Below are 12,569 nucleotides of genomic sequence, written 5' to 3'. Positions count from 1 at the left end.
GCACTTTGGGAGACTGAGGCAGGTGGATCACTTGAGCCCAGGAGTTCAAGACCATCCTGGGCAACATGGTGACATTTCTACAAAAAATACAAAAATTAGCTGGGGTGTGATGGCATGCACCTGTTATTCCAGCTACTCAGGAGGCTGAGGTGGGAGGATCACTTGAGCCTGGGAGGTGGGGGCTGCAGTGAGCCATGATCACATCACTGCACTCCAGCCTGGAAGACAGGGCAGGACCCTATCTCAATTGAAAAAAAAAAAAGTTTACGTTTGACAAGGTTGGCAAAATGTTGGTAATAGTTAAAGCTGGGTGATGAGTATACTGGAGATACACTGAAATTTTCCAAAATAACATCAAAATGTACAAATTCAGCTGGGCAGTGACTCATGCTTGTAATCCCAGCACTTTGAGAGACCAAGGTGGGCAGATCACTTGAGGTCAGGAGTTCATGACCAGCCTGGCCAACATGGTGAAACCCCATCTCTACTAAAAATAAAAAAATTAGTGGGGTATAGTGGTGCATGCCTGTAATTCCAGCTACTCAGGAGACTGAGGCACGAGAATCACTTGAACCTGGGAGGTGGAGGCTGCAGTGCACTGAGATTGCACCACTGCACTCCAGCTTGGGAGAAGGGTAAGACCCTGTTTAAAAAAAAAAAAAAAAAAGTTCAAATTCCAGCACCTAAAAATAAAAATTATAGCTACAGGTCTCATCACAACAAATAAAAGAAAAATGCTTTAAATTATTCAGACTTTACAAAAACATTTTAACTTTATAAAAATCAGTTCATTTCAGAAAGAAGCTAGATATAGTCTCCTAATCTTGACCTTAATGAAATTTTTATTTCTTAAAAAAGTAGATGTATACTTACAGCTAAGGAAATTTCAGGATCTTCTTCAAATGAATCTGTATCACTCTCCCCTGCCTGATACACAGTAACTTGATATACCTAATAAAACACATTCATTAGCATCAATTCATCGCCCTATTTCCTTCAATCAGAAGGCTTCCTAGTAATAAGTCCTAAACAAATATCATGTACTACAATATATGAGAAAGCCTTAGACAATATCAAATAGAGTAAGTGAGTGTAAAGGGGGAAAAAATGGAGGAGAGAGAAATCCTTACCCACAATGGTAAAAGTCAATACAAAGGATGTTTAGGATGAATAAAACAAAACATTCAGCTAGGTGGTTTTACTTCATAAATAACTAATATGGAGATATTAAATAATAGGGAAATAGCTAGAAATGTTAAAGGCAGTCACTTCTGGGAAACAGATCTCTAAGGGTACTACTTGACTTTAACTGTATGCATGTTTTACTTTTATAGAAAGTAAGTTAATATTAAAACAGTAGTTGAATTATATGTTTTTAAAAGTGAACAGACCATTATAATAAGCATGTTCATTGAGGTCTATTGACTTCTTGGCAATTAGTAGTAATATAATAATATAAATCAGATGATAAAGAACTATGAAATCCTCAAGTCCACAAACCAATGTGTTAGTTTAAACAAATCAAGAGGTAAAGATTTCAAGTGAAATCTGAATAATATTATTTCAATCTCAAAGTCAATGAACATAGAAAATATTTAATAATTTTCCAATATAATTAGAGGGGAAAAAAAATACTACCTCATCATCTTCATCTGAGAGTTCTTGTCCTTCTTCACTAAGGCTATAATCTTCTGAGTCGAGAGATTCAACTTCAAATTCTACACTAAACTGATCTGAAACTGAATCCTGATCCAACCAATCACCTGAATGTTCACTTACACCAGCATCAAGATCCTAAAACAAGAAAAAAATATATAACTTAATAAACATCACCTCTTGACCTCTGTATCTGTTTCCTAACTCATCCCTGTGCCTCTGCTGCTGCCAGCAGGGTGTAACAGTTGGGGGATGGGCCTGCTGCTCTGATCCGGGACTTCCCGAGGGAGATCGGCGGGCAGAAGACTAGGCCCCCCAGCCAGCCATCCCGGAGCCGGTTGCCACGCACATTTCCTCCTCAGATCCATCCTGCATACTGAAACTAGATTAAGGTTTCAAGGTTATTACTACATTATTTTCCCTGTTCAAAACCCCACTGCATAAAGGAAAAACACCAAAGCCTCTTGGCATCGAAAGTACCTACAGTGTGACTGTATTAACATCTTCGTCTGTCTTCAACTAGACACCCCTCCTCCCTTACTAAATATGGATAATCCCGCCAGATCTAGATTGCTTCCTCAACTAATCTTGGCATTTCAACTTCCACACTTTCCCCCTCTAACTAGAATAATTTCAGTTTCAAAATCCTATTCATCCTTCTTTGACTAAGCCTTTGTCAATACCATAACTGAAAAGGCTCTTCCACCTTTAATTATCCTTACTACTTGTATAATAATGAATTATATAGTCTCACACATAAATTATGCAAAACATAATTTTGCAGGCATGTTTCTCATCTGAATTATATATACTTTGAGCTAAAACCTGTCACTCATCTTTCTATGTCCAAATTGGTAGAATACACGTAACAAGACACAACACTTGTAATACTTATGGGTTTTTTTTCTTAGAAAAATGTCTCGAGTCATAGATACTTATGTTTTTTAATAAACTTTGAGATTTTCTTTTAAAGAGCCTTTAGACAATTAAAAAAAATTCTGTAGCTGCTCATCTGATTCTTCGTTTCAGGACTTCAATAAATTGTATAAGAACCTAGTAAGACCTTCAGGGCAATAATATTTGCTGTCAGTGGCTAAGGGTAGGAGCATATATAAGCAGAAGGCTACAATTGGAAAAAGTCTAGAAGTCGGGATATGGCTTATTCTACACTTGCCACTAAGTAGCTAATTTAACCTTAAACAACATCATTTAACTTATTTTATTTATTTTGAGATGGAATCTTGCTCCATCACCCAGGCTGGAGTGCAGTGGCCTGATCTCAGCTCACTGCAACCTACACCTCCCAAGTTCAAGCAATTCTCCTGCCTCAGCCTCCCAAGTAGCTGGGACTACAGGCGCATGCCACCATGCCTGGCTAATTTTTGTATTTTTAGTAGAGGCAGGGCTTCACCATGTTGGCCAGGCTGGTCTTGAACTCCTGACCTCAAGCAATTCAACCGCCTTGGCCTCCCAAAGTGTTAGGATTACAGGTGTGAGCCACCATGCCCGGCCCTTTTTTTTTTTGAGACAAGAGTCTTGCTCTGTCACCCAAGATGAAATGCAGTGGCATGATCTCAGCTCACTGCAACCTCCGCCTCCGGGGTTCAAGCTATTCTCCTGCCTCAGCCTCCCAAGTAGCTGAGATTACAGGTGTCCACTACCACACCCGGCTAATTTTTATGTTTTTAGTGGAGACGGGGTTTCGTCATGTTGGCTGGGCTGGTCTCGAAATCCTGACCTCTAGTGATCCGCCACCTCGGCCTCCCAAAATGCTGGGATTACACCTGTGAGCCACCTCGCCCAGCCCATATCATTTAACTTCTAAAGGCTGTAGCTACTTCATCTAGAAAAGGAGCTTAGATTAAATGATTTCCATATCTGTATCAGTTTTAAAAACAGAAACAAAGTATATTATTTTACAGCCTCTGACATCAAAAGACTTTTTTAGAGTAATGTTAGGAAGGAGAGTAAAAGCAACATTCATCAAGTTGCAGCTCAAATTCCTAACAAGGGCTCTACTACCAATCAGATTAGAATCACAAGTCAAGTTAGGATACAATTAACACTAACAAAGTAACCCAACAAACCAAATACTTCAACTAACTAAAGTCTTTAGTGCACTAATTTTAGAATAAGGGGGTAAATCACAAGAAACATTAAATCTCAGAAAACATACTCTACGGTAGGGGTCTGCAAACTGTGGCCCATCACCCATCGACTTTTATAAATAAAGTTTTATTGAACACAGCCATGCCTATTTGTTGACTTGTTGTCTACAGTTGCTCCTGCATTACAAGAGCGGGGCTGAGTAGCTGTGACAGAAACCATGGCCCGGCAGAGCCCAAATAATTAACTATGTGGCTCTTTACAGAAAGTTTGCCAACTCCTGTCCTAGGATACTATAAAAATACTATAAAAAATACCATGAAAAAATGCAATATTGGGAGTGGTTTTTAAAGTTTTGGCTAATGTTCGCAAAAGAATGCCCCAGAAACTATTAAATTATCTCTCTCTATATATATTTTTAAAATATATAAAATAAATATTTAAAATATATATTTATATTTATATAAATAGTAATATATATAATATATACAGGTGCCTGCCCATTTATATTTACATAAATATATATTTTTATATTTATATAATTATATTTTTATATTTATATAAATATATATATTTATATTTATATAAATATATAATTATATAAATATATATAACAATGTAATATATAATATACATTAATATATAATAGATTTATAATTATATATTATATATTTATACATTATTTAAATATAAATATATATATATATATATTTTTTTTTTTTTTTTTTTTTTTTGGAGACAGAGTCTCGCTCTGTCACCCAGGCTGGAGTGCAGTGGCACCATCTCGGCTCACTGCAAGCTCCACCTCCTGGGTTCACGCCATTCTCCTGCCTCAGCCTCCCCAGTGGCTGGGACTATAGGTGCCCGCCACCACGCCCGGCTAATTTTTTGTATTTTTAGTAGAGACGGGGTTTCGCCGTGTTAGCCAGGATGGTCTCGATCTCCTGACCTTGTGATCCGCCCGCCTCAGCCTCCCAAAGTGCTGGGATTACAAGCATGAGCCACTGCACCAGACCTAAATACTATATATTTAAAAAGCATCAGGCTGGAGGTGGTGGCTCATGCCTGTAATCCCAATACTCTGGGAGCCAAAGCAGGAGAATCACATAAGCCCAGCGGTTTGAGACCAGCCTGGGCAACAGGCCAAGATCTCATCTCTGAAAAAAAAAAAGTAAAAAAAATTAGCCAGGTGTGGTGGTGCACACCTGTAGTCCCAGCTAACTCTCAAGGCTGAGGAGGAAGGATTGCTTGAACCCAGGAGGTTGAGGTTGCAGTAAGCCATGATCATGCGCTGCACTCCCGCCTGGGCAACGGAGTGAGAGACTGTCTCAAAAATTTAAAAAATATATATTTTTTTAAGCATCAGATAGGCTTGCTCTGCAAAGATCTTAGATCTTTGTAGTCAAAAATACCTAGAATTGTTTGAATTCCAATTGTGACAATTAGTTGTAGGAACCTTAAACAAGTTATTTAAAACCCCAGTCTTAGCTAAAAATGGAATCTGAGGCTGCAAAGATGACAGAAGATCATAATATAAACTGCATGGTGTACAGTCTAGAACACAGTCTTAGTTTCCCACAATTTATTAAACCCCAAAGAAAGAAAAGATGGGAGAGGAATGCACTTTCCTTTAACTCCCTTCACAAACTGGTGAATGATGACACCCAATGATGACTACAACATTCTCAAATGAGGGAAATTAAAACGAAGAAGAAAAAAAAACTGGCCCTACCAAAAGCTTTCACAACTAGGGACTTAACCTGAAAAACGAGATTTTGTTGTTGTTGTTTGAGATGGAATTTCGTTCTCGTTGCCCAGGCTGCAGTGCAATGGCGTGATCTCAGCTCACTGCAACCTCCGCCTCCCGGGTTCAAGCGATTCTCCTGTCTCAGCCTCCTGAGTAGCTAGATTACAGGTGCCCGCCACTATGCCCAGCTAATTTTTGGTATTTTTAGTAGAGATGGGTTTTCACAACATGTTGGCGAGGCTGGTCCTGAACTCCTGACCTCAGGTGATCCGCCCGCCTGGGCCTTCCAAAGTGCTGGGATTACAGGCATGAGCCACCACGCCCGGCTGAGATTTTTTATAGATAGGATTTTTTAAGAGAATGCAGGACAGGACTAACAAAAAGAAAAAAAGAAATACCCCTCTACTCCACACGAGTTATTAAGAAATTATTTTAGGCAAATGGAGAGGAAAAGTGGTCCTTGGAAGGTTTTTCGTAGCTCCAGAAAAATTTCTTGTCTAGCATAAAAGCCCTGGCTCTTAAAGGCTGGCAACCTTTAAGATGCAAATGCAAGAGGGTCCACCCAACATGGCGATTCCCACCGTTGTCCTCTTGCCCTTGCTCCATCAGGTACCTAACAGCATGGCCGCCCCCACATAACCCCGTGTGTAAAATGTCATGGCATCCTGCATTTGTGTATTAAAGGACTGGGGTGGGAGGGCCAGTTTTCTTGAGGGCTAAATGACATGCCTGGTCAAACCAATCCTCTGAGCCCTATGCAAATAAGACACCACCCCCTCCAGCCGTCACATAAAACTGGCTAGTATTGTCAGAATGTAAGGTCTCCTCTTTCAGCTTTAGAGCCCCCCTCCCTCTGTCTGTGTAAGGGGGAGCTTCTTCCTTCTGCCTTCTCCCTTCTTGCCTATTAAACGCTCTGCTCCTTAAAACCACTCCACGTGTGTCCGTGTCGTTTTATCTAATTCAACTCAAAACAAAAAACCTGGTGTTCCTCTACTCCTCAAAGCCATATCAGTAACAAGGCAGTGTCCCAGGTACAAAGCAGGAACAAGGACTCTAAATATCATTCAGCTAGAATTCTGATATAACTTTAACAAAAACTATACATTAAATAGGGGTCCGGGCAGGTGGCTCACATCTGTAATCCCAACACTTTGGGAGGCCAAGGCAGGCAGATCACTTGAGGTCAGGAGCTCAAGACCAGCCTGGCCAACATAGTGAAACCCCATCTCTACTAAAAATACAAAAATTAGCCAGGTGTGGTGATGGGAGCCTGTAATCCCAGCTACTCAGGAGGCTGAGACATGAGAATCGCCTGAACCGGGGAGGTGGAGGTTGCAGTGAGCCAAGATTGCACCACTGCACTCCAGCCTGGGAGACAGAGAGACTCAATCTCAATAAATAAATAAATAGGGTATAATAATTCTCTTTTTAACCAAACTTGTAGGTTGGATACTCATCAAGTTTTAATTGGATTCAATTTTATCACATATATTTCCGCTCAAGAGCCTATTTTTTCCACTGGATTTATTAAATGTTTTCATTTTTGTCATTAATGATCTATCTCCCAATGAAGGCAAGAACCATATCTACCTTGACTACCACTGTATCTGCAGTGCCATCTCAACTGTATGGAATTTGGTATAAACTTAAATATCTACAAATGAAGAACCTGCTCTCAGACTGAGCAGGAGCTCATCATGCCATCTAGCGGTCTACATAAGTAACAGCTCCGTTAGGTACAGTAACTCTAGAGGGCAGGTATGCGTTCATACAATCACTGCTTTGGAAGAGAAAAAAAGATAATACAGGAAGTAACAAGAATAGGTAAAAGACTAGGATTACTATCACAATTGGTTCCACTTCCTACATCTTCTAGAGTACTATACAATGATTACTAATACCCAGAATAATGGCCATGAGACACTGCCATATTACCAAAAAATGTATCCAATCCTTTGGTTTCCGTGGGCGACATTGGAAGAATTGTCTTGGGCCACACATAAAATACACTAACAATAGCTGATGAGCAGAAAAAAAATTGTAAAAAAAAAAATCATAATATTTTAAGAAAGTTTATGAATTTGTGTTGGGCCACATTCAAAGCCATCCTGGCATATGGCCCACAGGCCATGGGTTGGACAAGCTTGATTAAAGACATACAAAACAAAATATTCCATTTGTCAAGCATTCTTGTTAACAAAAAAATTTTTTACCAAACTTCTTTCAGTGACATCTCTTAAGAAATGCTGCTCACTAATATTTTGGAAGTCTGTATTAGTAATGAGAAAGTACTGATACTCTCCCGTCATCCATGCAATAATAAACCTGCATTTTTTTTTTTTTTTTTTGAGATGGAGTCTCGCTCTGTCACCCAGGCTAGAGTGCAGTGGCACAATCTCAGCTCACTGCAACCTCCAACTCCTGGGTTCGAGCGATTCTCCTGCCTCAGGCCCCCAAGTAGCTGGGACTGCAAGCATGCGCCACCACGCCTGGCTAATTTTTGTATTTTCAGTAAAGACATGGTTTCATCTTGTTGGCCATGCTGGTCTTGAACTCCTGACCTCAGGTGATCCACCCGCCTCAGCCTCCGAAAGTACTGATTACAGGCATGAGCCACCGCACCCAGCCCAGTATAAACCTGTATTTTACAGCATAAGTAAATAGAACTTACCTGATGTCTAGACCTATTTGGCAAATGTTAAGTTCAGACTATGCTGACTTTTTTGCTGATGGCTGTAATAAAATATATTTTTACTCTAAATAGTCAAATTTGCCTTAAAATGCTAAAATATTTAACTGAACCAAATTTTTGGTTTTGTTCCTTTTTTAAAAAGTGTAACTCTCAAATTCTCAAACAACTCTATACTCCAATTTATTTGACTGTACTATTGGTGCAGTGGTCCACAAATATTCTCTAATACATACAGTGACATTGATAATTACTAATACTACTACTAATTTTACCAATACCGGTGTTACTCCACTATTTTCCACATTTCTCACAATACCTTGGGTTGAAGGTGGAGATCAATATAGTAGTTTTATTTTAAAGTAAAATTTAGCACTGTGTTTTCTATCAATCTCGTAAGACACATGTACATTCTATCCGTATCCTTATTAGGACTGCCAGGACTAGACTTTGAACAGTAAGAGTCTTGCCTTACTTAAAATGAGAACATTACCGGATTCGATGGCGTCCCTGTAGATTCACTGCTACTGCTTCTTTCACAACATATCTCCCTTATTACACACAGAGCCAGGCTTTCATCAAAGGAAAGGGAAATACTATCAGATTTGTGGCGTTTTCTTTGTCGTTCACCAGATAATTCATCTGAATTTTCTTCTGGATATGTAAGGAAAAAAAATAAATTGCTGTACTGTGATTTAGAAAATTGAGCTGTTTTGAGTACCTATTTGTACAGAAACTTAGTTTCAATAAAATTAGTTCAAAAGTTAACACTGTTTTATTGAATCTGTCCAACTGTTACAGCAGAACACTATCTGTGTGTATTTATTTATTTGTTTATTTATTTATTGTCTGAGAAAGGGTCTTGCTCTGTCACCCAGGCTGGAGTACAGAGGCACAATCTCGGCTCACTGCAACCTCTGCCTCATGGGCTCAAGTGATCCTCCCACCTCAACCTCAGCCTCCCGAGTAGCTGGTACCATAGGAACGGTACCATAGGAATGCACCATTTTGTATTTTTTGCATAGACAGGGTTTCACCATGTTGCCTAGGCTGAGAATACTATTTTTAAAAAGCTTTCTATTCTTCTTTCAGAACTTTATCTCCATACATCACAATTTAATCTATCTAATAAAGTTTTTATTAACCAAAAAATCTAGGAATTTTTTTCTGTCAAAACCAAACTTTAAAATATAAGAGCTCATCTGTTTTTTTCCGAAAAGAGCCAAAGTGTTTAATTTACTCATATGGTATTCTTAATGTTTCAATTTCTTCAGTACCCTACACTTTTTCTTTTGAGACAGAGTCACACTCGACCACCCAGGCTGGAGTGCAGTGGTACATTCTCAGCTCATTGCAACCTCTGCCTCCCAGGTTCAAGTGATTCTTGTGACTTCAGCTTCCAAGTAGCTGGGATTAAAGGTGCACACCACCATGCCTGGATAATTTTTGTATTTTTGGTAGAGACAGGGTTTCACCATGTTGGCCACACTGGTCTCAAACTCCTGGCCTTAAGTGATCCTCCTGCCTCAGCCTCCCAAAGTGCTGGGATTACAGGCCTAAGCCACTAAGCCCGGCTCTTCAGTACCCTATATTTTAAACAGAAATCAAAACCAGTAAAAAGTTTCCATTTCATTTTAAATAATAAATTATCTCTGAATGGGTCAGAATGTTAGACAAATCCGTTAGACATAAATGAGAATACTACCTTATACTAGACATAAAAATGAATTCCAGGTGGATTAAAGATCTAAATATAAAGAACAAAACCATTCAAGTACCTATAACAAAATATTCTTATAATGCTGGGGTGGAGAAGTATTTCATAATACTGCAAAGTCCTCAATAAAAAGACTATCAAGATTAGACCATGTCAAGGTTTACATGACAAAATAAAATACCAAACAAAAGTTAAAAGGCAAAGGTCAAATTCGAAGATAATATCTGCAACATATATAGTAAAAATTACCCATAGTATACATATTATACAAAGTCCTACCAAATCAAGATAGACTGTATTTTCTTTTAAGGAAACAGGAAAAAGCAAGTCACAGAAGAAATACAAATGACTAATAAACATATGAAAAATCTTGAGTCATGTACTTGAGTAATAGAAAAAAAAACTCTTACCTCCTAGGGATCAAAGAAATGCAAAGTGAAATGATATCATTTTTCACCCATGAGAATGACAAAAATTAAAATGAGATAGTATCACAGATTTCTGAAAGGACTTTTTTTATCATTTTCTTGAGACAAAGTCTCACTCTTGTCCCCCAGGCTGGAGTATAATGGCACAATCTCGGCACACTGCAACCTCCACCTCCTGGGTTCAAGCAATTCTCCTGCCTCAGCCTCCTGAATAGCTGGGACTACAGGTGCCCACCACTGTGCCCGGCTAATTTTTTTTGTATTTTTAGTAGAGACGGGGTTTCACCGTGTTAGCCAGGATGGTCTCAATCTCCTGACCTCGTGATCCTCCCTCCTCGGCCTCCCAAGGTGCTGGGATTACAGGCGTGAGCCACTGGACCTGGCCGGGATTTTTACGTTTTATCGAGATCACAAGTTCTGCACGTGAGTTCTTAATCATGTTTGTGTTCCCTATTTTTAAAAAGGTGATCTTGGCCGGGCTGCAATTATAAATAATGCTGTAATTAGTATCTCTACATATAAATCTTTGAATTTTTTATTACATCCTTAGGATAGATTACTAGAAATGGAGTTACTAGGATAATGTTAAGAACTCTAAGACTTTTTTTTCTTTTCTTTTTTTTTTTTTTTTAAGAGGGAGTCTCACTCTGTACCCCAGGCTGGAGTGCAGTGGTGCGACCTTGGTTCACTGCAACCTCCACATCCCAGGTTCAAGCGATTCTCCTGCCTCAGCCTCCCAAGTAGCTGGGATTACAGGCGCCTGCCACCACACCTGGCTAATTTTTGTATTTTTAATAGAGATGGGGTTTCACCATGTTGGCCAGGTTGGTCTCGAACTCTTAACCTCAAGAGATCCACCCGCTTCGGCCTTCCAAAGTGCTGGGATTACAGGTGTGAGCCACCGCACCAGGCCATCTAAGCTTTTTTATAATCCGAAAAATTTAATCAATTTTTACCCACTTTTACCAATTTACAGACCAACAGTTTATCAGTGCTAATACACAAGTTATTAGCACTGATGAGTAAGGATGAGTAAAAATTTTATTTTTACTAATTTGATAGATCAAAAGGACACCCTTTTGGCATTTTTTACTATCTGTAAAGCTAAAAATCACCAAAATTCACCCTCTCCCCATATTTATTAGTCATTCGTATTTACTGTGAGAAATTTTTGTGAACTGTCTGCCCTTTTTGCTATTTGAAGTTTTAATGTTTTCCTTATTGATTTGGGAAGACTTTTTATGTAATACAGATATTAACAGTCAAATTTAAAGTGACTATCTTTCAAATATGTTGTATTCTATTTTTCATTTAACTTTTAAACTCATTTGAAATTCATTTTGGCATAAGGTACAGATCTAACTTCACCTTTTCCCCAAGTAACTACCATTTGTTCTAGTTCCACCTCTGCCCTAGACACCTCTGCCCTTCCTGTCTTCTGCCCGCATGTACGAGATTCTGGTCTGGGTTCATTTATTCTGTTTCACTGATCTGACATTCTCTTTCATCTGAATCATACGGTCTTAGTTACTGCGACTTCCTCAGGCAACAGCCTTCTCGTCTACTACGTCTACTAACTGTTCTCAACTATTTTCTCTCTGTCAACTATTTTCTCTCTCTCTCTTTTTTTTAGACAGTCTCACTGTGTCGCCCAGGCGGAGTGCAGTGGCGTGATCTCGGCTCACTGTAAGCTCTGCCTCCCCAGTTCATGCCATTCTCCTGCCTCAGCCTCCCGAGTAGCTGGGACTACAGGCACCCGCCACCACATCCAGCTAATTTTTTGTATTTTTAGTAGAGATGGGGTTTCACCATGTTAGACAGGATGGTCTCGATCTCCTGACCTCATGATCCACCCGCCTCGGCCTCCCAAAGTGCTGGGATTACAGGCGTGAGCCACTGCGCCCGGCCCTTATCTCTTCATTTCTAAAATGCTATTTACTTTCTGTTTTAAAACTCATAGGTATGTACTACCATTTATTAAAAATAACAATTTAAAAATTTAACTGTTAAGGTGACTAAGAATAATGGTGAAAATAGAGTTTATATGCCTGTCTCCTATTATCTTTCTTTTTAGACGAAGTCTCACACGGTTACCCAGGCTGGAGTGCAGTGGCGCAATTTCGGCTCACTGTAACTTCTACCTCCCGGGTTGAAGTGATTCTCCTTCCTCAACCTCCTGAGTAGCTGGATTACAAGTGTGCGCCACCAGGCCCAGCTACTTTTTGT

The 12,569-nt window shown here is 39.3% G+C and overlaps 1 protein-coding gene across 7 annotated transcripts in view, besides 3 other annotated features; it reads right to left on the bottom strand.

The window, feature by feature from the left end:
• The window catches only part of MDM2 (MDM2 proto-oncogene), a 42,515-nt gene that overhangs the window by 13,064 nt on the left and 16,882 nt on the right, over nt 1-12,569 (bottom strand). For 4 of the 7 annotated variants that reach the window (NM_001145339.2, NM_002392.6, NM_001367990.1 and 1 more), the window contains 3 exons: nt 8,692-8,852; nt 1,639-1,794; nt 874-951 (listed from right to left, as the gene is read on the bottom strand). In NM_001145339.2, the coding sequence (NP_001138811.1) occupies nt 874-951; nt 1,639-1,794; nt 8,692-8,852 (395 nt within the window). The remainder of the gene's footprint in view (nt 1-873; nt 952-1,638; nt 1,795-8,691; nt 8,853-12,569) is intronic. The other 3 variants (NM_001145337.3, NM_001278462.2, NM_001145340.3) reach the window with 3 other exon arrangements.
• Nucleotides 5,707-6,380: an enhancer, noted in NCBI's record as "H3K4me1 hESC enhancer chr12:69225023-69225696 (GRCh37/hg19 assembly coordinates)". NCBI's record gives its function as "activates a minimal SCP1, AML or CMV promoter by ChIP-STARR-seq in naive H9 embryonic stem cells {active_cell/tissue: H9 hESC(naive)}" and the evidence as "EXISTENCE:reporter gene assay evidence [ECO:0000049][PMID:30033119]".
• Nucleotides 6,047-6,288: a silencer, noted in NCBI's record as "fragment chr12:69225115-69225356 (GRCh37/hg19 assembly coordinates)". NCBI's record gives its function as "represses an EF-1alpha promoter that drives an FKBP-Casp9 reporter gene in an ReSE screen in phorbol 12-myristate 13-acetate-treated (for megakaryocytic differentiation) K562 erythroleukemia cells {active_cell/tissue: K562(+PMA)}" and the evidence as "EXISTENCE:reporter gene assay evidence [ECO:0000049][PMID:32094911]".
• Nucleotides 7,284-7,463: an enhancer, noted in NCBI's record as "active region_6647". NCBI's record gives its function as "activates an Ori minimal core promoter by ATAC-STARR-seq in GM12878 lymphoblastoid cells {active_cell/tissue: GM12878}" and the evidence as "EXISTENCE:reporter gene assay evidence [ECO:0000049][PMID:35858748]".

Source organism: Homo sapiens, chromosome 12 (genome assembly GCF_000001405.40).
Source record: "Homo sapiens chromosome 12, GRCh38.p14 Primary Assembly".
Lineage (NCBI taxonomy): Eukaryota > Metazoa > Chordata > Mammalia > Primates > Hominidae > Homo > Homo sapiens.
The sequence above is the reverse complement of the archived record's forward strand: the minus strand, read 5'-3'. Positions and strand labels throughout refer to the sequence as shown.